This window comes from Homo sapiens, chromosome 3, assembly GCF_000001405.40.
Source record: "Homo sapiens chromosome 3, GRCh38.p14 Primary Assembly".
Classification (NCBI taxonomy): domain Eukaryota; kingdom Metazoa; phylum Chordata; class Mammalia; order Primates; family Hominidae; genus Homo; species Homo sapiens.
The window spans coordinates 159,794,078-159,819,098 of record NC_000003.12 but is presented as its reverse complement, the minus strand read 5'-3'; the positions used below and the strand labels follow the sequence as shown (position 1 = coordinate 159,819,098).

Sequence of the window (25,021 nt, the reverse complement as noted above, 5' to 3'; positions counted from 1 at the left end):
GGAGGACCCTCCAGCAGTTCCAGTCAAGCTTTCAGATGACTGCAGCCCCAATGCACATTCTGCCTAAAGTGTCATGAGAAATTCTGTGCCACAAACACCAGCTAAGCAGCTCTGGGATTCCTGATGATCAGAAATTGTGAGATAGTAAATGTCTGTTTTTTTAAACTGTAGTAAACTATTATTTATACAGCAATACACAACTAAGACAGAGGGTAAGGACCACACAGTTAATTTTTTTTCAATTAAAATTAAGAACTTGGAATATATAATTTTGTTAATCTACAAAAGCCAAATGCTGTCAAAAAGGAAAAGGACCTGTGATATGACCATGGACTAGAGCAGGGCCTCCATGCTGGACACAGCTGACCTTTGCTCTGTGACCTTGGACAGGCTGCTCCAGCAAGTGCTGCTTGCAGTATGAAGGCTGCATAAGATCAGGATTGCAAAGCCCCTGGCACAGCTCCTGGTGCTGATGACAGACAGCATGCTGGTAGCAGGGGCAGTGGTTCCCTGCCCCAGGCTTCCCTACGGTCACACAAAGGCTCTGCTGCGGGCAGGTGGCCCCACTGGCCCTGCAGATTCCCAGGCAGTGCTCTACCACGGCTCCACACTGCCCCTTCCTGGGGAGGATGACACAAAGCTGAGGTGATTAGTAAATCCTCAGAGGGGAGATAGAGGAGAGAAGCTGGTGACAAAATGTCAGGAGGTTTCCAAGTGATCAATGCTGCACTTTGCCTGCTCTTTTCTACTTTGAATCTCAGAGTGTTATTGTCCCCACTTTAAAGTCTACCCAACTATTTGTTTACAGCTTTTCAACCACTTTCTCTCCCCAGAACTTTAGCATTAGGCACAGCACTCTGGGGCCATACGATAAGAGCATAGAAGGTGCTACTTTGATGTAAAATGCCTTCTTCATCTACATCATTTGAGGATGCATGAAATTTCCACACCACAGCAGCTTACTCCTCGATCCACACTCCTGTCCTGCTTGGGTGTAAGATATGCTGGCTTTGTGAACACTCCTTGGCTGATTATTGTGGAGAGGGCTGTTGTCTGACTTGAGGGTCTACCTCTAGGCTTCAGTCTACTGCAGCTGCTGATGGCCTGTCTCACCATTGGATAAATAAAAGGGGACTGCATGTTTATTTTTAAGTTTGGGTTTTGGGCTGTAGCACACTGTAGGTGGATATGTGTAAAAAGGAAAATCAAAACAATGAGGGCCCTAGGGAGGGTCTGGGAAACCTACTTTATTCCCAAGGCCGTTCAAACCAAGGCTTAGACTTAGAGCCTGTGACTGGCGGGTCTTGCACACAGTAAGAATACAGCGACAAAAGCACAATGAGGAATTTCACCAGAAGGTAACAGGTTACACTCCATTCCTTCTCTGTTGTCAGAAACAAAACAAAACAAAAACTCTAGCTGAAAAGAAGTATTAATCTACTCAGTACTTTGCCAAAGGGTCCCATGGGTTAACTTTAATCTAATCTAATTAGTAGAAGAAAGTATTCTTTTTTTTTAGTAATCCATGAAGAAAAACAAGCCAAAGTTCAGGCATTTTAAAAAGTCAGCTACAGAAGTACAGATACGGGCAAACACCCAGAGTGGCCACACAAAAGTGAGGAAACTGCTTTAAACCCAGCTAAGCACTCTAAGTGGTTCTCTTTCATTGGAAACCAGATGCAATTCAGTGTCCAGGTTGCTTTGTACCACAGTGAAGTCATTAGAATCTGCTCAGTGCTGCTGTCATTGACAATGCACCTCTCCTCGACCCCGCCACCCGCAGCCCGCCACCCCACCCCATTGCTTGCTTTTCTCCTTCAGACTTCACCAGCCATGCAAAGCAATCATTCTTAGTCTGCAAAAGAAAATTCTTTACCTAAGTATTGGTTATATTTCTGATGTTGATGGGTCACTATTAGCTTAGTTTTATTCATCATAGGTATTTAATTCCTTCATTTAATCCACGCATATTTATTAAGCGCTTGAGATAAATGCAGGCATGGTAACAGGCTCAAGGAATACAGAGATAAGACACAGTCCCAGCCTTAAGGCAAAGATAGACACATAAACAAAGAATTATACTATATATCATATTTATATTATTTATTTATAGCACAATATATATAATTGGTTAGGGCTCTAATCAAGCCGGGGGGTCAGGAAAGATTTTCTGGAGTGGGTGATGTCTGAGCTCTGCGTTTCAGTGATGAGTAGGAATTAACTGAGCAAGAAAGAGATAGAGTGGACAAAACATTTCAGGCAAAGGGTACCACAAAAACAAAGGCATGGAAGCTAGAGACAGCACGAGTTAGGCAGGTCAGCAGACTGGTTTTGTTAGAGTACAAGGGAGTGGTAAGAAATGAGACCAGAGGTCAGCAGGGCTGATATAGGAGTTATGTAGTGCTGAATTTATGTTAGGCTTTACCCTGAGGAAGTCATTACAGTGTTTGAGAATGAGACACACTTGAATAGGCAGTCAGGTAGGTAGATTAGGGGAGGAGCTTAAAGAGTACAGGATCAGAGGCAGAGGCCGGGCTGGCTCCCCTCTGTAATCCCAGCACTTTGGGAGGCTGAGGCAGGAGGATCACTTGAAGCCAAGAGTTTGAGACCAGCCTGGGCAACAAAGCAAGACCCCCATCTCTATGAAAATTAATTTTTAAAAAGCCAGGTGCTGTGGTGTTTGCCTGTAGTCTTAGCTACTTTGGAAGCCAAAGCAAGAGGATCCCTTGAGTCCAGGAGTTTGAGGCTGCAGTAAGCCATGACTGCACCACTGCACTTCAGCTTGGGTGTCAGGGCAAGATCCATCTCAAAAATGGATAAATAAAATACATTTTAAAAAAGGACCAGAGGCAGGCCGCACAGTGGCTCACACCTGTAATCCCAGCACTTTGAGAAGCTGAGGCAGGTGGATCACTTGAAGTCAGGAGTTCAAGACCAGCCTGGCCGACATGATGAAATCCTGTCTCTACTAAAAGTACAAAAATTAGCCTGGTGTGGTGGCATGCACCTGTAATCTCAACTACTTGGGAGGCTGAAGCAGGAGACTCGCTTGAACCTGGGAGGCAGAGATTGCAGTGAGCTGAGATTGCACCACTGCACTCCTGCCTGGGCGACAGAGAGAGATGCTGTCTCAAATAAATAAATAAATAAATAAATAAATAGGACCAGAGGCAGAGAGACTATGTTGAGGTTGAGGTGACAGTTAATAGCATTTGCAGAACGGGGGTGGCATCTGGGATGGGAAGGGGAGTGATTTGAGACACATTTGGAAGGTAAATTGGCAAGACTTGGTGACTGATGGGTTATGGGAAACGAAGACCAGGTAGGAATCATGGGTGTGTTCCTGGAGACCACCACCATCATGTGACATGGAGAGAACTGGCATAGAAGGGGAGAAGATGATGATGAGTTACTTTTGAACACACTGCACTTGAGAGGGTTTAAATAATTTATTCTCCTACTGTCTTCAAAAGGTAAAGGAGTATATATGGTAAACTTAACTGTGGTCTAAAATGAAGGTGGAGAATGCTGTTGTTAATGGGCGACATCACTAATGCATCATAGCACTCTTATTCCCACAGCCCAGACACACCTTCGGCGTCCTTTTCAACATATCATTTCATCCCCCCAAGGTGTCAACTATAAGTTCCAACACATGATGGCTACTACTGTTCCAAGGGAGAGTGTATGCCTTGGAAAGCCACGTTTCTCCCCAGTCTAAAAGCTTGAGAGAGTAACATTCTTTAAAACATACATGTCTTGAACACAGATTTGGAGGTATCCTTGAGGTAAATTACAGCTTACCAAATGTAAATAACCAAAAACACATCGATCATGAGTGCCAGCATCACTGGGAACTCTTCCGATATTTCTGAGACTCCTAACTTGGTTTAAGGTTAGGGCAGTGCAGACCACGGTAATCAAGAGAGTCTAATTTTAAATTTGTTAACTGTCCATTATGGGATGGGACAGGTCTTCTCAACATGACTCCAGCAAGATCCAGGCTTATTAATGCTCCATGGAGGGTGTCCGCAGCAAGAAGTCTTCCTGATGGGTTCAGATGATTTGGATTACACCCCCTCCTTAAGGAACTCAGAAGGAAAAGCAACATATAAAAGACTGAGAAATCCTCAGAAATCAATTAAACTTAGTTTGGCCTAGTGTCACCCAGACTTACTTGACCATGAAATCCTCCTGTCGCATGACACTCATGAAGAGCCCCTGAAATTAGGATCATTTCAATCCTCAAAGCATACCCATTTTTCAAACGAGAAATACAACTTCTAGAATCACAAAGCCACAAAATTGGCAAGGGAGATCTAAAATCAGATCTTCCGGTTCCAGCTTCAGGGCCCAATTCATAGGACTGCAGCTGAAGAGGACAGTTGGCAGTGAAGATGAGAGCTGATACCTGGGCTACACACCCACTTTACAAACAGAACATCGGGGGCTCGGCAGTATCCCTACTCGGCAAAATGTGCGGCACATGGGCCAGCTACAGCTTTCTGGGGGCTCCCCATCAGGGCTGACAGCTCATCCTGTCTTTTAAAGTCCACCACCATTGCCCTTTTCTTTTGTAGCCACTACAAAACACTACTCTGTTTACTCTCTGCTATACCCGCGAGAGGAATTCTGGCCTTTAGGGCATTTCCTGTTGCCTAGAAACCTTATAGAGCACTGGGTGCAGGAAGCTGACTCTCTGGTAGAGATTCACAGGCAGGAAGTTTATTCAGAGTGCTCTGGGGCAACACCTGTGAGGGAATACAGGCAGTAAAACAGGGCAGAGGGAGAGGCTGAATTCTGATGCAGCTGCAAACAAAAGCCTGACTGATCCAGGAGGATGCTCTGCAACGGGGCTGGGCGTTCAAAGTGGATCCAAGCCGGGTGAAAGGTCCAGGCCTTCATGTCCCAGCATCAACCTGTCTTTGGATATGGGTTGCTACTGCTCCTACCTTGGGCATCCTAGTTCTCCTCAGCCACAGGCAATCCCGAAGAGGGTCTCAGCTGAGCACTGTCAGCTGCCAACATTACCAGCAGCTGAAGAAGGAAGTCCTTCCCTCCTGGAAGCGGGTGGAGGGAGTGTTGTAGATCTGGGCTGCCTGACAACATCTTCTGCATTGCTCAGGGCGTGTTTCCCACTCAACTCTCAGGTCTGGATAGTTGTCTGTTTTCTATAGATGCTGCTAGAATCTAGAGTCTGGGCTGTGGCCTCCATTATATTAACCCTAGCTTTACTATGCTTCATATTAGTTTTATCTTGGTACCTATAAAGCTTTCCAAAAGTTTTATATTTCTCTTGTATCCTAGCAGGGTTTAAGGAAGTGATCAATAATCAATACAGATATAGAGGAAAGAGTAAGAGATTTGGAGCCTGAACTCCTAATTTTACTTCTTCTTCTTCTTTTTTTTTTGAGATAGCGTCTCACTCTGTTGCCCAGGCTGGAGTGCAGTGGTGTGATCGCTCCTCAGTGCAGCCTCGAACTCCTGGCCTCAAGTGATCCTCCCACCTCAGCCTCCTGAGTAGCTGGGACCACAGGAGCACATCACACATGGCAAATTTTTAAAACTTTTGTAGAGACGGGGTCTCCCCAGGTTGCCCAGGCTGGTCTCAGACTCCTGGGCTTAGGAGATCCTCCTGCCTCCTGGGCTCAAGAGATCCTTCCTAAGTGCTGGGGTTACAGGTGTGAGCTACTGCACTCAGCAATCACAGAACTGCCACTTATGGACGTATACAATTACAAACATCACTTAATTTCTGTGAATCTTAGTTTCATGATTTACAATACGGGAATTTTAAAAAGCCCTATTTTACCCAAGCTCCAGTGTTACTGTGAGAATAATAAGATGGTGAATTGAAAATGCTTTGTAAAGTAAAAAAAAACTAGAGCCAGTGTTTCACAATAGTGAGTACAAAATAGATAGCTGCTATGGTTTGAATATGGTCAGCTCCCTCCAAAACTCATGTTGAAGCTTGGTCCCCAACGTAATGGTGTTGAGAGGTGGTGGAACCTTTAAGAGGCATTTGGTTGAGGAATCCACCCTCAGAAAGGGATTAATACCATCTCTTAGTCACTGAGAGAGCAGGCTGTTATAAAGCAAGGCTGCCTCTCATGTTTTGTCCCTTTCTGCACACTCCTGCTTTCCCTTCTGGTTCTCGGCCTTTCTCTGCCATGTTGTGATACAGCATAAAGCCCTCACCTGAAGCTGAGAAGATGCCAGCACCATGCTTCTTGGACTTCCCAGCCTCTGGAATTGTGAACCAGACAAACCTCTTTTCCTTATAAATTACCCAGTCTCTCAGGTATTCGGTTATGGCAACAGAAAATGAACTAAGACAACACCTATTAAAGGAAAAAAATATTGAGCCAATACATGTAAAACTAGGTGTAAATTCCTTTTGCTAATAACACTTATACAAATCCAAGTGAATTTACAAAATATAAACAAAAATAGAATACAATTAATTTCAATTAACAATACTGATTATTGTGCCATGTGACGTTGTTTTATTGGCTTATATACATACGGTACTGACTGTAAGGACAAGGTTCATTTGGACTGGATATGCACGCCATGTAATAATTCGGTTTTCTCCATTGTTTCCACTGTGAAACTGTTCGTTTACACAATGCACCATTTGGCCTTAACATAGAAATATCATTTATGTATATTAAGTACACCTCCACTTGTTTAAATTTTCCATTTTATTTGGTGATAAGAATATGTATCATGAGTTCAATTTGGCCTTATGTATCAGAAAGTCCATATAACAGTGACTTGAAAAATTAGGAACAAAAGAAGTGCAAGACTTATACACTGAAAACTACAGGCCGGGCGCGATGGCTCACACCTGTAATCCCAGCACTTTCGGAGGCCAAGGTGGGTGGATCACTTGAGGCCAGTAGTTCGAGACCAGCCTGGCCAACATGGTGAAACCCCGTCTCTACTAAAAATACAAAAATTAGCCAGGCATGGTAGCACGTGTCTGTAATCCCAGCTACTCAGGAGGCTGAGGCACGAGAATCGCTTGAGCCTAGGAGGCAGGGTTACAGTGAGCCGAGATCACACCACTGCACTTCAGCCTGGGCAACAGAGCAAGACTCTGCCAAAAAAAAAAACAAAAACAAAAACAAAAAAAACTACAAAACATTGCTAAGAGAAATTATAAGAAGAAAGATCTAAATAAAGGAATTGGAAGACTCAGTATTATTAAAATAGCAATGCCCCTCAACGTGATCTATAGATTCAACATAATTCCTATAAAAATTCCAGCAGGCTTTTGGGCAGGAATTGACAAGCTGATCCTAAAATGTATATGGAAATGCAAAGGACCTAGAAAAGCAAAAACAATCTTAAAAAAGAACAAAGTTGGAAAACTTAAGACTTCCCAATTTTAAAACTTACTATAAAGCTACATTAATTAAGACTGTGTGGTACTGGCATAAGGGTAGACATGTAGATCAATGGAACAGAATTGAGAGTCTAGAAATAAAACTTTACATTTATAGTCCATTGATTTTTTGACAAAGGTGCCAAGGTAATTCAATGGGGAAAGGACAGTCTTTTCAACAGATGGTGCTGGGACAACTGGATATCTGCATGCAGAAAGATGAATTTAGATACCTCACACTATACACAAAAATGAACTCAAAATGAATCATATGCCAAATGTAAAAGCTAAAACTATAAAACTTGTAGAAGAAAGCAGAAGATCTTTGCAACCTTAAGTTAGACAAAGAGTTCTTAAACACAACAGCAACAGCATAATCCATGAAAGGAAAAACTGAAAAAATTGACTTCATCAAAATTAAAAACTTTTGTGCTTCAAGAAACATCAGTAAGAAAATGAAAAGCAAGCCACAGTCTGGGAGAAAATATACACAAATACTATTTCTGGTAAAGGATTTGTATCCAGAATATATAAAAATCACTTGTAAGTTAATAATAAGACAAGCCAATTAAAAATGGGCAACAGTTGAATAGGTATTTCACCAAAGAAATATGAATGGCTAATAAGCATTTGAAAAGGTGCTCAACATCATTAGTCGTGAGGTAAATGAAAATTAAAACTACAAGGAGATGCTATTATACTTCGTGCCCAGTAGAAGGAATATAATAAAAAGACAAAATAATTTTTGATAAGAATATGAAAAAACCGTAAGCCTCATACATTGCCGATGGGAATATAAGATAGTGTGCTTACTTTGGAAAACAGTTTGGCAGTTTCTTATAAAATGAAACATAAATTTACCATATGATCTTGCAATTCCTCTCCTGAGAATCTACCCAAGAGAAATGGAAACATACATCTACACAAAGATGTATATGTATTCATGCAACATTATTCATAAGGTCTAAAAAGTGAAGACAATCCACATGTCCATCAACTGGTAAATGGACGACCAAAATATAATACGGCCATACAATAGAATATTATTCAGCAACAAGAAGGAACTACTGTTATGTGCTACAGCATGGAAGACTATCAAAAACAATATGTTAAGTGAAAGAAGCCAGATGTAAAAGATTGGATATTCTATGATCCCATTTATATGAAATGTTCAGAAAAGGCAGATTTATAAAGACAGTGGATCGGTGGTTGCCTTGGCCTGGTAGTAGGAATGAGGATAGACTGCCAATGAGCAAGAGGAATGTTTTGGGAATAACAGAAAGGTTCTACATTTGGTTGTGGGGATGTTTGAACAAAACTATGCTTACTAAAAATCACTGTGCATTTAAAACAGGTGAATTTGAGGCCGGGCGTGGTGGCTCATGCCTATAATCCCAGCACTTTGAGGGGCCGAGGTGGGCAGATCACGAGGTCAGGAGTTCAAGACTAGCCTGGCCAACATAGTGAAACCCACTCTCTATTAAAAATACAAAAAATTAGCTGGGCGTGGTGGCACCTGCCTGTAATCCCAGCTACTCGGGAGGCCGAGGCAGGAGAATCACTTGAACCCGGGAGGCGGAGGTTGCAGTGAGCTGAGATCACGCCACTGCACTCCAGCCTGGGCGACAGTGCGAGACTCCGTCTCAAAACAACAACAACAACAAAAAAGGTGAATTTTACGGTATGTAAATTATATCCCTTTGGTTTATTTTTTTGAGACAGGGTTTCATTCTGCCACCCAGGCTGGAACTCAGTGGTGCAATCTCGGCTGACTGCAACCTATGCCTCCTGGGCTCAAGCGATACTCCTGCTTCAGCCTCCCAAATAGCTGGGACTACATTTGCATGCCCCAGCTAATTTTTGTATTTTTTGTAGAGACAGGGTTTCACCATGTTGCCCAGGCTGGTCTCGAACTCCTGGGCTCAAATGATCCACCTGCCTCGGCTTCCCAAAGTGCTAGGATTACAGGCATGAGCCACTGCACCTGGCTATAAATCATATGTTAATAAAGCTATTTTAAAAATTAGCTTCTTTTTTTTTTTTTTTTTGAGATGGAGTTTTGCTCTCATTGCCCAGGCTGGAGTACAATGGCGCCATCTCGGCTTACCTGATGGTGGGAACATAAATTAGTTCAACCATTGTGGAAGACAGTGTGGCAATTCCTCAAGGATCTAGAACTAGAAATACCATTTGATCCAGCCATCCCATTACTGGGTATATACCCAAAGGATTACAAATCATACTACTATAAATGCACATGTATGTTTATTGTGGCACTATTCACAATAGCAAAGACTTGGAACCAACCCAAATGTCCATCAATGATAGACTGGATTAAGAAAATGTGGCACATACACACCATGGAATACTATGCAGCCATAAAAAAGGATGAGTTCATGTCCTTTGCAGGGACATGGACGAAACTTGGAACCATCATTCTAAGCAAACTATCACAAGGACAGAAAACTAAACACTGCTTGTTCTCACTCATCAGTGGTAGTTGAACAATGAGAACACATGGACACAGGGCAGGGAACATCACACACTGGGGCCTGTTGCGGGGGGTTGGGGGCTGGGGGAGGGATAGCATTAGGAGAATACCTAATGTAAATGATGAGTTGATGGATGCAGAAAAGCAACATGGCACATGTATACCTATGTAACAAACCTGCATGTTGTGCACATGCACCCTAGAACTTAAAGTATAATAAAAAAAAAAAAAAGAAAGAAAAAAAAAGTTTCTTTTTTTTTGAGACGGAGTTTCACTCTCATTGCCCAGGCTAGAATGCAATGGCGCCATCTCAGCTCACTGCAACCTCTGTCTCCCAGGTTCATGCCATTCACCTGCCTCAGCTTCCCGAGTAACTGGAATTACAGGCATGTGCCAATACGCCCAGCTAATTTTGTATTTTTAGTAGAGGGGGGTAATTAGCTTATTTTTTGTATATAATGAAGTGTCTGCAGACAGCCACACCCTGGGCTGGTATAATGAGGGGTTTTTTGTAGTCATTAGAGACCCAGACTCCTTATATCTTTGCCTCCACCACGCTAGTATGTGTTCTTGCCCTCATGGTCATATCTCACCTTCCTTCCTGGCTAGATGAGGAGAAAGACTGGAGAGTGAGAAAGACATTGACCATTGCTTCTTGACCTTTTGTCTGAGATCAAATGTAGCACCTGCTCTTACCAGCTTAATACCTGATATGTCCTCTATCTATCTTAAAAGTCAGCCACTTTAAGGATCTTTCTGGGAAGCCCCATCTAATAGCTCAGATATCATGAGCTAAAACCTTGCCACATGAACATTTGTAACTGCAAGGGAGTCTGAGAAGCATAGGACTATTGCTGATTCCAGGCAAATTAGGGTTCTGTTAGTAAGGTAGAGGGGAAGAATGGATATTGGGTAAATTAGCTTGAAATCTCTGGGGGTTGAGAAACAGTTTTTGGTGTCAATGTAAACACAGATAGAACCAGCATTACTTATATCACAGAGCAGTCCTTGCTTATAAGGTGATGAACCAGAATATGCTTAATATTAATGGGTTCTTATCAAAATAAAAACAAAACAATTGAATTTTTAGTGAAAGCATAAGGGCTCCAGAGAAGCTATCTCTTACTCTGTTGAGAAACACTAAGCTGAACAAATGTTCCTTGTTGTTTGTATTTTTATTTCTAAGACAACAACTTGAGGGCTGAGCCATTTGGTATAGTAAGAAGAACAGGGCTCTTGAGTTAGAAACATCTGGATTTAAAAATTGGCCACACTGTTTAGCTATGCTTTGGGCACACTGCATAACTTAGCTAGGCCTCAATTTCCTCCTCTGTACAAGAGAAGTAGTACCTGCCTTACAGGGTTATTGGGAGGACTTAAGAAGGCAGCAGGTGTAAACACTTGCCTGTGTGTTTGCTTCTCTCCTTCACAACTCACACTGCAGTGACACAGCCCTGTCTCATGCACCAGCAAAGAACAAGTCCTCATTTTTTTCTTGGCAAAATTAAACAGCTGTCCAGCTGTATTTTCCCCACATTTCTCATGCTGAGAATTTTTCCCAAGAGAATTTTCCTACTTAGAGATCATCTATTCAGCACACACACACAAACACACACATAAATTATGATGTGGGGCAGAGGTAGCAAAACAAACAAAACCCACTGAAGATAAAATTAACACATGGAGAACAAAATTCTAAAAATACTCTTATTTTTGTACCCAAAGTTTTGTAATCTTCCTAACAGCTAATCTTTTTACAGAATCAGAGAGATTATGTACTTGGCACATTAAGAAAGGTAGGTGCCTTGTCAAGTGCTTGTGAAAGCAGGTGTGCAGGTGAGTTGGCTGGCATGAACCCCAGGTCATCCATTACTTGCCCGTTTATTCATACATCAGTGTGACTAAGCCAGCGTGGAGCCTCTTCCATCCACTTTCTCCCCGAAGCACAAATACAGGTTAAAACAGGGGACTGTTCAAATGGGTGGACTATGATAGACTTACAACTCTTAAGTGGTTTGCAACTTTAGTAGCTTTTAAAAGTCTCTGTTAAACACTGACTGAACAAAATCCTTATTTCTGCAAGAAGGCGATGTATCCCAAAGAAGGACTCTGAAGCAAAATTGTGAAATCTGTCAACTGAAATGTAGAACTAATATTTATTATCTATGTTTATTCTCTACAAAGTAACAAAATTGTAATAATGACAATCTTGATAACACATAGCATTTAGTTTACATAATTAAGAGACAAGTGCAGGCTGGCAAAACTGATACAATACTTTAGGGCACAATGTTACAGTGTGGTTTTCCAGTCACTCCTTTTCAATGATTGATTTTTTTCCCTATCCCATGACCTACCTGACCGCTATGATACTTATCTGCCCATTTTTCTCCTCCTCTGTGAAAAGGGGAAAAGAAAGATGGTGCATGCCTCCACTCCAGAGCAGGTCTTACAGGCACCACGCGAGTGGAGGGCCCTGCTCAGGAAGCCCCGCAGCTTCTCCAGTGTGAGCAGCAGCCCTGCCTGCCAAGACTGAACAGCTGTCAGGATTTCTACAGCTGTGGCTGCTGCTGTTCCCCAGAACTCGCCTTCAGCTCCCAGATTGAGAAATCCTCTCTGTCCTTTGGTGCCCTCCACAGCTAATGGCAGTTAACTTCTAATATTGGGTTTGTGCAAAGTTTCTCCAATCCTGAAAGCTGCCACATTTCACGCTTGAATTACAAGTCAATTAAGAGCAAAACAAAACAAAAACCTATTCTTTCTTGTCTTGAGTCATTCTATATTATAATTACCATGTTGTTGCCTTTCCTCTCTCTTCCTAACCCAAATCATGAAGCACAGGAGAAGTCCTGTTACCTGCCACATACAGACCAAAGAAGAACCCATTCTAACACAGCTTTGCCTACTGCTCAAAGAATTCACAGTAGCAATGTTGATCTGCTTATAATAAAAAATTCTGCTTTCTCTACTGACCAGATAGTGGGTATTCCACAACACAAAAGCAGCTGCTTAGATGTGTATTTGGGGTTGTTGGAATATTTTCCCATTCGTATAACATGCAGCTTCAAAACACAATTGATTGCTTAGTTGTCCTATTAGGAATACAATTGGCCAGGCGCGGTGGCTCACGCCTGTAATCCAGTACTTTGGGAGGCCGAGGCGGGTGGATCACCTGAGGTCAGGAGTTTGACACTAGCCTGGCCAACTTGGTGAAACTCCATCTGTACTAAAAATACAAAAATTAGCTGGGTGTGGGTGGCAGGCACCTCTAGTCCCAGCTACTCGGGACGCTGAGGCAGGAGAATTGCTCGAACCTGGGAGGCGGAGGTTGCAGTGAGCCGAGATCGCTCCACTGCATTCCAGCCTGGGTGACAGAGCGAGACTCCCTCTCAAAAAAAAAAAAAAAAAAGGAGTACAATTAAGCTGGTAGAGCTGATATTTATAAGAGAAAGCCATGGCTATGGAAGGGGAGAGGAAAGGAGAGCTGAACAACAGTTGGGTCTTTCGTTTACTCATACAAGTGTTTACTAAGCATGCAGGAGTTCAAGGTGAGGAGCTGGGTGTTTTGCACTTAGGCCCCACCCTCAAAAAGCACACCCTCTGTCTAGAGAGAAAGACACACTGTGGATGACAATTTACAGGTGTGAAAAGGACTACAGAGAGTGTTCTGAGGTTGCTGATCAGCAAGGTGAGGGAGGCCTAAGTCTTACAGTGTCTTTGGAAGACTTTCAATTAAACTCACTTACTCATTAAAGTACTTCTAAAGGTTTTAATTTGCTTACAACCTCCTTGTGTGTGTGAGTGTGTCACAGCCGCTGTGATTCTCATGAGAGGTAAACCCATGCCTCTGGATTCTAGAGCCGATGCTTTCCTCAGACACTAGGGGTCAGCAGCTTCCAAGAGTTGTGAGTCAGGCTAGGAGCCCCAGTTCCTTGGGTGCTGCTAGGAGTGGGTTGGAGCTGATTCTCAGAACAGCAGGAGTCTAATAGGCACTGTAGTTGCTCTTCCAACACCACTCTCCTTCTTTTAGTAACTACCTTAACTTTTATTTGAGCACCTTCAATTCCTCCTGCAAAGCCCAGGTGCTTGGGGGAAGTTGATCAGGTGGTAGGGCTTGTGGCTCATTATCCCATCCCCTGGCTCCACTTACGGGTTCAAGGATAAACACCACACCCTATTTGGGCCAATGAGATTGAGGAGAAATCTGCTGAGGATGACTGGGAAAATAGTTCCTGGCTCTTTTGAGAGAGTTCTTGGAAGTGACCATTTCTTTTTCTCCCTCTCCCTAGACAGTGATGAATAAACTCAAAGGAAAGGAAAATCATTTGGCAACCGGAAGGTGTGGGAGGATAGCTGTAAATGAAACTGACGGCAAAAAACAGAGCAGAGAAGTTTAAAGAAAAAAAATAACAGCATTCCTGGTGATGCCCCATTGGGCCAATGAAACAAACACATTCTGAAGCCTTTCCTAACCAGGAGCCAACCAATCTCATCACTGTGAAGCCAGGTTAGTTTGGTTTTCCATGATTTTCATCTGACTGAAGGCATCTCAAGTATACACCGAGGGGACAAAGGCAAGCTTTGGAAAATGTGGTAGCAAGTGATCTGCAAGCTACTATTTAATAAACTTTATGCCAGCTCACCCTACCCTGCAGACATCACAGCAGCAAATAAATGAGAGGGAGGGGACCCAGAATGCTTAACTGGGGAAGAAAAACTGAGGAAGACATTGTATACTCATGGCCTGCCTCTTTTCCAGTTGGCTGAGAAGCCCTTTTTATTAATTTGTTCCATTTCCTTACCATGTCCTTAGCAGTGGAGATATATTTTTTGGAAATGTATTGATCACAATTATATTTCCTTACACTGGGAGGACAAGGAGGCTCCCTGCAACAGACCTTTGAAAGTAATGAACTGACAGAGAGAACAGGCCTCCAGTTCCAGCTCTCTGCTACCAATCTCCCTCACCTGCTCAGCCCAAATCAGTCTCTAAATACTCAGAGCTCTAAAAGAGTGGGATTTCCTATAGTTCATTGTGGGGTTTTACCTCTAACTCAGTAAAGAATCACTGAGAGGGTGAAGGGAGCCCTATTACAACTGCAGGGACCAGGGAAAGTTGACTTGACCTCTCTGCTTTCCTTAGGTCATTATACAAAAAAGAAACATCAAAAGGGTCATTGTACTATTTTTCAAAGGTGTGAGGCCATCGTGATGCAGGGTATGGATTTGGGAGTCCAACAGATCTAAGTTTAAATCTTGGCACATCTCCTTACTAGTTGTGTGACTTTGTTTCTGAGCTTCTAAATCTGTAAAATGGGAATGGATAAAGCCTACCATTCAGGCTGCTCTGAAGCTTAAGTGAAATATACATGTAATTGGTTTGGCATTTAAAAAATTGTTGCTAGAATTATTATTTCAGTATTCCCCTGGACGAAGGAACGCTGTGACAGAAGAAAACAGAGAAGTAGCCAGGTCCCTAAACATTCCCAATGTATACATACACTTCCCTGGGTGCATGCCAATGAAAGCAGCACAAGAACTTTGAAATTCAACCCCCACATGCAGGGTCTGTATCTACGTTAGAGAGTTCAGACTTTCTAATGGAAGTCACAAGCTTCTGAAGTAACTGCAGGTTTGGACTTAGTGCATGATCTAATTCCTTAGGTAGGTCTTATTTGTAGTGAAGCAGTGTGCAAAGGAGCTGCTCAAAAAAATAAAGGATATGGTTATCTTTGCCTTTCTTTTTAAAGATGTGGGCTCCTAACAATTTTTATCATTCACTGAAAAACAGGTGCTCAGAGTTAAAGTTTAGGACTTACACCCACACGTCTGTTCTAGAATTCCTATCCTAGGCAAAGGACTTGGTAGGTATTCTGGAATAGAGGCTGGAATGGAAGTAATCTTTCTATGTTGCATGGTTAACTCGTTTTCATTGATTCTTTCTATGGGATACTTTATTAGTCTTTCCCCAATATATTTTCTCCTTTTTCCTTATTGATAGAACTCCCCCTGCCCTTTGCAACACACACACACACACACATACACACCTTTTAGCTGGGCATATGGATGCTTAGGATAAGAATACATTCTCCAGCCTCTCTTGCAGCATGTGTGTGAGGTCACAACCATGTGACTAAATTCCGGCTAACTGAATTTAAGCAGAGGTGTCACGTGTGACTTCTGGGAAGTGTCCTTAAAGGAAAGGAGATGTGTTCTTCTTCTTCCCTTTCTCCTTCCTACAGTCAATTACAACACAATAGCAGGTCTTTAAGGAGCCAACTTGGACCATGAGGCAGAAAGCCATGTATTGAGGATGAGCAGGATTGAAAAAAGAAAAAACCTTCAGTCATCTTGAACCTGCCTTAAGACTCCTGACCTCCACACTTCTTTTACATGCATGAGAAATAAGCTACTATCCTTTCTGAAGTCCTAGCATTTTAGATTTTCTGTCACTTACACCTAAACCTAATCCAAACTGATACTTTGCTATATCCACTGTTTATGTTTTCTCTATTCATCATCACGACAAGCCACTTACAAATGGAGTATGGATTCATCAGTCATTCCCATCATACTCCCAAAATCCCACTCACAACCTCCAGAATGAATTCCACCCACAGTATAACATCAGAAAGGTCACCTCTCAGACATGGAAAGAAATAGAATTCTTTTTTTTAAAATCAGGCACAAAACCCTTTTGTTTATTTTACAGAAAACCCTATCTATTGAAGATGACTGCTTTCTTCTACTGTAGCTGGCAATTTTATGAAATGAAGAAAATTTGCTCTAGTTGCAAGTGACACACACCTCTTAAATGTCTGCTATCAATTAAAAGTAAAATACTGGTTACTTGCAACTATCAATTAGATACAATGCACTCCAGGAGATCAGGAGCCTTGGCATTCAGACATAGGAGCATTTTTTTGGCTTTGCCATTTACTTGCAATGTGACCTTGGTAAGTGACTTAACCTCTTTTTCAGTTTCTTTATCTATAAAATGAAACCTCATACAGTACCTGCCAAAAAATAAAAATAAATAAATAAGCTAATATGGACAATGCACCCAGCACATAAAGGTGTTACAATAACAAAAGGCCCTCTTTGTTCTTTTGTTTTTTATTGGTATAAATGAAAGGTTATGGATTTTAAGTCCATAGACCTGTGATTTAATAAGGTTTAGTCTCTAAAATTGACTAATTTTATAACCATGGTGGCCTTAACTTCCTTAAGACTTAGTTTCTTCAACTGTCAATCACACTTATAATGACAATAGTGATATTATTAATTGTAGCAATAACAACTGTAAACACATTGTATGGTTAGCAGGTGCTGTGGGCTGCATCAAGTTCTTTTGTTTTTATGATTTCATTAAAATCTGAGTTTTTTTCCTACCTCGTGCAGATGTTTTTAAGGATATAAATAGAAAGAAAAAGTGATTATAAGGATACTGTGTGTACCAGAATTTTAAAAAATTGTAAGGTATATAGAAATATAGAATTTTTATTGAATAAATAACTCCCTTTAAAAGAAGATACTCTGATTTTTAGAAAGTGAAAGATTTTGATTATAACAGGAGGTTAATTTTTTTTCCTTTTCAAAACTTGTACTTAATTTAAGAAGTAATGTAAAATTTTATTATGCCAAAACAGAGGCACACACTTATGGAACTGCTTACCATAAAAGTGATAACAAAATGTCCATGCAGAATAGACTGGTTTTCTCTCTTTTCTACTTTAAATAGTCTTCATCATTTGATTCAGGAAAAAGTATCTGATAATTCCCAAGAAAAGTATATTATGTACTCATATATACTGGGTGTAAGTATGGATTTAATGCATCTGCATGTACTTTCTTTCTTTTACTTACAAACAAATGTTTATGTTCTAGAACACAGGTTTGTAAATTGACTAGACATCAGAAATTTCTCCCCTTAGAGAAACAACATTTATAACCATATCTTACTTACAGTAACTGTTACCATCCCCAACTGAAAATTCTTCCTGATATAAAATACTTGTATACAGAAACTTACTTTTGTATATAGCTTTTCCATAAATTCAAGAAAATTTTGGCTAAATTTGAGTCACTCGTATTTGATATAATGAGAGACTAAAGGACCCAGGACTGGGGAGTGAAAAGGAAGAAAAGCAGATGCCAGCAGTGGACGTTTTTACAAGGCAGCCTTGGAAAAGATAAAGGAAGAATCCAGCCCACAGATGATTAAAAACTGCATATTAAAAAAAAAAAAAAACAGACTTAGTTGCCAACATTTAAATATAGAAATTTTCACATAAAAATCCTATGACCTGCATTTTTGGTACAGCCACAAACAGCTGGCCATGCACAGTGCTATGGAGGTCCTTTTAGGCTGGCCCACTTTCACTCTCCATTTGTGGGGAAGCATCCCTCATTTAGAAATCTGCCTGGATTGTATTAAAGGCATATGAATTTAAGGTATCTGAGCTCGCACACATACCTCTGCCCTGTATAAAAATGAATGTTAGGGAAACTGCAGGTCATGGGCCCTTAACAACAAAAGAAAGATCTGGCATGGTTAGCTTTTCCTTATGTCACTAGGACCTTCACGGGCCACCAGTCAGTAAAGGCCCCATGTGGAGAATCACTGTCATGCAGCCACAGAGCAGCAATTACTATTGAGGTCACTGTTCCTCAGACCCAATGGTCTTGATGCAAAGTTCACGTTCTTGCTCCAGATACCATCTGTGTACCATAAAGCTCATAACAATATTCTGCCCCTTTAAGTGTCTGAGTTTCCGACCCTGGCTTTGAATTGGTTCCCTTCTAGTACTTGTTAGTGAGGGAGGGGGCAGCCCCAAAAAGGGCTGCTGGAGCAGGTGTGACATTATCCTGGTAAGAGATATCCCCAGAGATCTCTGCGCATTGGAGAGGTGGGCCTGAGTAATAACTGCTCAATTACACTCGACTTCTCCTTCTAAAGGTGGGTTCAGGGAGGTGGGTATCAACTTGGTCATAAAATCAGAGTGTTATCTGTGTTTTGTTTACATTCATTTACTCATAGACTCATCTGTGTTTTATGTTGAATGTAGCTCCACTGAGGTAGGGGCTTTGTTTTGTTCACTACCATACCCTTTGAAGTTAGTGCATGGCACATAATAGATACTCAATTAATATGTGGGGAATAAGTGAATGAATGAAAGCACTACTTTCTTCTTCCTGGAAGCCTTCCAAGATCAGTCCTCCATCATCTCTCATCTGGAGGACTTCAACTGGGGGTCCCAACTGAACTAGACCCCAGGCAATGGTGTAGCTACCCCTCAAATCTAATATCTACCTTAAGTTATCTTTCTAGAATCCAAATCTGTTGCATCACTTCTCCACTTAAAATGCTGCAATAAGTTTCTCACTATTCTTAGGATAAAGTCCAAATTTTAAAATGAGGCTGAGAAGGCCCTTTTAATCTGGCCCCAACCCATCCCTCCTGTCCTAGGCAGCCTTACGAAACTTCTGTGTGCCAGGCTCTCTCTTGCACTCCCACCAGACTGTATGGCAAGCTCCTAACTCACTCATCAGGTCTCAGCTTAAGTCTTCCATACGTTCTCACCACTACCACATATTCCCTTATTATCACACTTACACATATTCCCTTATTATCACACTTAAACCTGTTGGATTGTCTGTCAGTTGGCCAGCAGGCTTGTCCGTCTTGTGACAAGACACCTGTATCCCCGGTCACCCGTATCCCTGGCACTCCTCAAGAAGGCAGCAAGGAGACTTTTATTGGATAAACATATATTTTGTGTGCCAGGTTCAGTGCCATCCTCTTTGTAATCCTCTACTTCATTATTTCACAGATGAGAGAGAAGTTGATGCTCAGCGAGGTGAAGTAATTTGCCCAGGGTTAAGATTCAAATGCAAGTCTGGGGACCCTGAAGTCTGCTTCTTTTCACTGTGCTGCGTAGTGGCCTTAGCCTTTCCTTTCTAACAGAGAAGCCAAGACAGCATACCTGTGTCTGAGTGCCCCAGTGGTGTGCACATCTATTACCTCAGGAAGAAAGAATGTCTGAGGAGACGAAATTTGCAAACAGTTACAAAGGACTGCACACACAAATATGAATAAAGCCTCTTGAACACCAGAGTAAAGGAATGTAGGTCAAATAATTGCCCTGTTCAGTGTCTCCCTCTCCCTCTTCATTACCCAACTCCTCTCATTTGCATACATGAGGCCCCAAGTGGAAGATAACTTGGTGGAAAATTCCAGGAGCTTTGCAACTATCATTAAAAGCAAAAGTTCAAGAAATAAGGAAAGAATTTTAAATTCACTTTGTTTTAACTCATGATTATTCTAATTTAAAAGCTCAGATTTAGTAATGTGTTCAGAGCCAACTAGGCATAGAAAACTGTAGCAAGCCTCTGGAAAAATAAGCCTTGTTTGGCTGTTTTTTTTGGTTGTTGTTGTTGTTGTTTTGTTTTTGTTTTTTGAGACAGAGTCTCACTCTGTTGCCTAGTCTGGAGTGCAATGGCATGATATCGGCTCACTGCAACCTCCGCCTCCTGGGTTGAAGCGATTCTCGTGCCTCAGGCTCCCGAGTAGCTGGGATTACAGGTGTGCACCACCACGCCCAACTAATTTTTGCATTTTTAGTAGAGACAGGGTTTCACCATGTTGGCCAGGCTGGTCTCGAACTCCTGACCTCAAGTGATCCCCCCGCTTCTGCCTTCCAAAATGCTGGGATTACGGGCGTGAACCACTGCGCCTGGCCTTGTTTGGCTGTTATGAAAACAAAGTAAATCATGATAATGAAGAAGAAAAAGATAAGGAAAAATAACTAACAGTAATTTTGAGCCAGGTACACACATTGCCATTTAAACCTCCTAAAAAGCCTGTGAAATTAAGTAGTATTAATACTCCCATTTTACAGATGTCAAAATTAAGGCACAGAGATGTCAAGTAATTTGCTCAAGGTCACATGGCTAGCAGAAACAGAAAAGATTAAGATCCAGTCCAGCTATTTCCAAAACCTGCTCTTATTCCGCAAAGCCAGCTTTCCAGTTTGTGTAATACTAATTGTTATATAAAATTTATAGGAGGCCATTGGTTTGAACTGAGCTCCTGTATTAGACCCAACAGACCAAAACCAAAATAGAGTTATTCATGCTGAAGTTCCATGCCACCAAGTTGAAACTAAGTTGTTCATCTGACCTTTCAAGAAACCAGCAGAGAAACATAACAGCCAAATTACCAAACAGGCCAGTTTTAGCTGGCATAAGGAAGCCCCCTCTGCTTTAACCTTTGCAAAGAAAGTAACTGAAACAAACAATCAATTTTCTGCTGCCTCTTCCTGCTTTCCTCCACCCTTTCCTCTCTATAAAGTCAACTTCCTCTGCTCAGCTTATTGGAATACTCATTCTGTTCCATAGAATGAGGTGTTGCCTAATTCTAGAATTGCAAATAAAAACTAAAGATCTTACCCCATCTCTACTAAAAATACAAAAAAATTAGCTGAGTGTAGTGGCAGGCACCTGTAGTCCCAGCTACTTGGGAGGCTGAGGCAGGGGAATGGTGTGAACCTGGGAGGCAGAGCTTGCAGTGAGCCAAGATCGTGCCACTGCACTCCAGCCTGGGCAACAGAGCAAGACACTGTCTCAAAAAAAAAAAAAAGATCTTTAAATTTGCTTGCTTGTAAGTTTGTTTTTTGAGAAATGTAAGTGACATTTTCTAATCATTAGATTTACATTTGTTCCAGAAGATTTTATTTCAAAATATAGCACAGAATTAGACTAATAACATTTCAATCTTACCAATGTGTTCTTCACAATAAGAAACTGCATGAAGTTGGTATCATGCTTAATTCATTTTAAAGTAAAAATGGAAAGGAAGAAAGAAAAATCCTTTAGAGGAAGAATCTGAAGGTAAGACTGAGGAAATTACAAGTGACTGTATAAGCTCCACATTTTAACCTAAGAGAAACTAAAGGGCATTCAATAAAATCAAGTTTTACAGTGATGTGCTAGATACTGTTTCCAAGAGGGACAAAATAAATATTCAAGTTCAAAAGCATGCAACAACCTTACCAACTTATAAATAGTATGCTTTAGAAATGAGTGGTACTGTTGCCTCCTATTAATCTAGAGGATTTTACAAAACAAAACAAACAAAAAACACAGTCCTTTATGTAAAAAATAATTGTGAAGGGTTTGAGGTTGAACATGTAGATGTGGATCTCCTGGGCAACAGAAAGCTTAAGACCAAACATAACAGAAAAAGTCAGTTAGTCATGGAAAACTGTAATAATTCAGTAGCTGGTTAAGTCCTTGTTCTAACCAAATGACATCATCGGGAAGAAAGACACTGTGGTGCTTGTCCAGAAAATTTCAGTCATTTCCCTTCCTGTCATACAGAGTATATGGTTTTAGTTTTACCTCCCTTTCATGACTTTTGCCTTGATACTCTCCAAGGGTGATTATTACTTCACTTCCCCATGGTCAATGTCAGGTCTTTCTGTCACCCCCAAATATTTAATAGGTCAGTACTTTGCTGTAAGACAATGGTTCTCAATTCTTTGCATTGCATCTTATGCCCCAAATCAAAACTCCAAATTTTTTTACCATCATGATCATGAACTAAAAAGTGTCAGGAGAGGGGGGCTGTAGCTAAGCAGATGGCTTTCTCCCTGTCACCTGCAGATGTCATTGCTCCAGTCACGCTATGTTCACATTTTACATCGCTGCTTTCCTCTGGGAAATCTGGGAAGGCTGGGTGCATGATCACTCCTCCCTGGCAGGTCTCCCTTGCAAGCAGCACATCAAAGACTCACTGAGTTCCAAGCAGTCACTTTGTGCCAGCCCAACAACCAACACTCCTCCGATTCCTCAATGCTTCCCCCTTCCCTCTCCCCCTAGCTTCTGATGATTCAACGTGCTTTATATGGCTTGTATTTCTGCTGTTCTCTCTTCTACTGCCCCCAACTTGTCTTAGTTCGGGAGTACCTTTTCTTAAAACTAGTATCTCCCCACTAGAATGCATTCTCACCACCATCAGACACCACTCCCCAACAAACCTCTTTCATTCCATCTTCTACACTGTGTCCAGTGATCTATCTGACCTGCAGTGGCTCTGCCCAAATCCAAGCACCTTAGCATACATAAGGCCTGCTATGATCTACTTTTTGCCTCCATCCTTGTCTGTGGTTCACCTAATCTTAGTTCTTACACATTCATATGGCTTGCTTCCTTTAAAATGCAGTTTGCCAAACTCTAACCTCAGTGATTTTGATTCATTATGCCTGGGGAGAGGCCCAGAATCTGCACATCAAATGCTACTAATATATATCTGATGCAGCAAAACCCTGGAGAAACATTGCTCCACAGCCTCCCTCTTACTATTGGCTTCCGTCAACACATCCTACTCCATGGCCATATGGTCCCCAGAGCAAACTGCTCTTCCTTGTCTCCATAATTTTACACACGTTGTTCCCTCTGCCTGGAATATCTCCTTCCACATCCTCCTGGCAAATTTCTAATTATTTTTCAGGACCCAGCTCAAGATTCTCCTCCTCTAACCTACCCAAATGAAGTGAACACTTTCTTTGGACCACCACTGTGTCTATAGCATAGTTTTACCACATTTATTACTCAGTCCAGGGACTCTTTGCATGTCAGGAACCCCTGTCTGGGTATCAGAGGTATAGTTTCCAGTCCCAGCTCTGACCCCTTACTGGCCGTGATGTCTTGGGCAAGTTACTTAGCATCTGTAAGTCTCATCTGGAAATTGAGCCAACAGAAGTACCTATCCCATTCACCTGTTGGTACTATCCTGGGAAGTACTATTACTAGTGAGGAAACTGAGGCAGAGAGATTAAGTAAATTTCCAAAGATCACATAGCTAGTGAGTGGAAGAGCTGGGATTAGCCTTGAAGCAGTCTGGCTCATGCCCACATTCTTAACCACTGGAGACCTATCTTCCCTACTAGGAAATAGGCTGGCTAGGGAAGGTTAGTTGCGCTGCCAAATGTCTAAGTTTGGTTCTATCCTGCTCTAAGGTCACGGAGAGTCTTTAGCAGACCGTGTTTAGCAGAAGAATTGGAGCAGAAACAGGGAGGGCTAAGGGACTTATTAACCACATCTATATCGCAGCTCTATAGTACAGTTCACCGCTCCTTTACTGAGTCCCTGATTTCTGTCCTGCTTTCTTAGGTCTTCCCATTCTACCTCACATCTACCAAACGCGACACTTCTTCTGTGATAGAGGTCAGAGTCCCCAGGCCAATCAAATCAGAATCTCTAGGAGTGGGTCCCAGATGCTCATGCTTTTTAAGAGGACATCACCCCGCCTCCACCCATCATCCCAACAAGTAGCTAGAGTTGGAAACCACTGCCAGGAGCCTTTCCCCTCCCTTGGGCAGCTTCTTGCATCTGAAGGTCATCTTTGTGGTGAGACCTACCATTTTATTACAATACTATTTTTTGGCCTCTCCTAGGAGCTCCTAATCATTTTTGTGCCATGGAGGGCCCCTTTGGCACTCTGGGGAAGCCTGTGGACCCCTTCTCAGAATGATATCTTACATGCATATAGTAAAAAACAGGATTACAAAGAAAACCAATTATGTTGAAATACAAGTATACTGACCACTAGAGGTGAGTTCTTTGGCCTTGACCTTGAGGTCCGGAATCTAGTCTTTTTGTATGTAGGGGGGTCTAACACACAAAATTCTTGCTGGAAGAAAAAATTCAAGAATAAGCCACACCTACTCCCTGTTGAGAATCACTGCATTAGTAGCAGAAAAGTTCTCTACCTGAGGGAGACTTCAGCAATGCACCATTTCAGCACAATGAGACCCAACTGTTATGCAATCCACTTCTGAAACAAGCTATTAAAGCACCTGAAAATCTAAAAATTGGCAGCCTTTTAAAGAAATCATAAAATTAAAATTCTGAACATGGTATTATCACTTAAGAGACTTTACAAAATCTTCCTCTCTTACCCATCAGAAACTGTAGAGGAGGGAAGCTGTGGCTGACTCAGAGGTTTCTGTACTCAAATGAGAAAAAGTATGGATTTGAATTTTATTCTTGCTCTGGTAGGCAGAATAATGACCCCCCATCCTCCCATATGTTTATGTTCTGATCCCCAGAACCTGTGAATATGCTACTTCACATGG

General features: G+C 41.8%; 2 protein-coding genes, 1 long non-coding RNA gene and 1 pseudogene across 32 annotated transcripts in view; 2 read left to right on the top strand and 2 right to left on the bottom strand.

Moving 5' to 3' along the window:
- Positions 1 to 19,998, top strand: part of LOC101928351 (uncharacterized) — a 28,725-nt gene extending 8,727 nt beyond the window's left edge. For 2 of the 3 annotated variants that reach the window (XR_007096144.1, XR_241608.4), the window contains 3 exons: positions 14,171 to 14,388; positions 16,594 to 16,837; positions 19,715 to 19,998. This is a non-coding gene — a long non-coding RNA (uncharacterized LOC101928351). Of the gene's footprint in view, positions 1 to 4,707; positions 5,151 to 14,170; positions 14,389 to 16,593; positions 16,838 to 19,714 lie in introns of those variants that run through there. The other variant, XR_924643.3, reaches the window with a different exon arrangement.
- IQCJ-SCHIP1 (IQCJ-SCHIP1 readthrough) overlaps positions 1 to 25,021 on the bottom strand; it is an 828,041-nt gene that overhangs the window by 78,261 nt on the left and 724,759 nt on the right. The window lies entirely within an intron of this gene.
- SCHIP1 (schwannomin interacting protein 1) overlaps positions 1 to 25,021 on the bottom strand; it is a 624,116-nt gene that overhangs the window by 78,261 nt on the left and 520,834 nt on the right. The gene's annotated exons all lie outside the window — the stretch shown is intronic.
- Positions 10,529 to 10,683, top strand: RNU2-31P (RNA, U2 small nuclear 31, pseudogene; annotated as a pseudogene).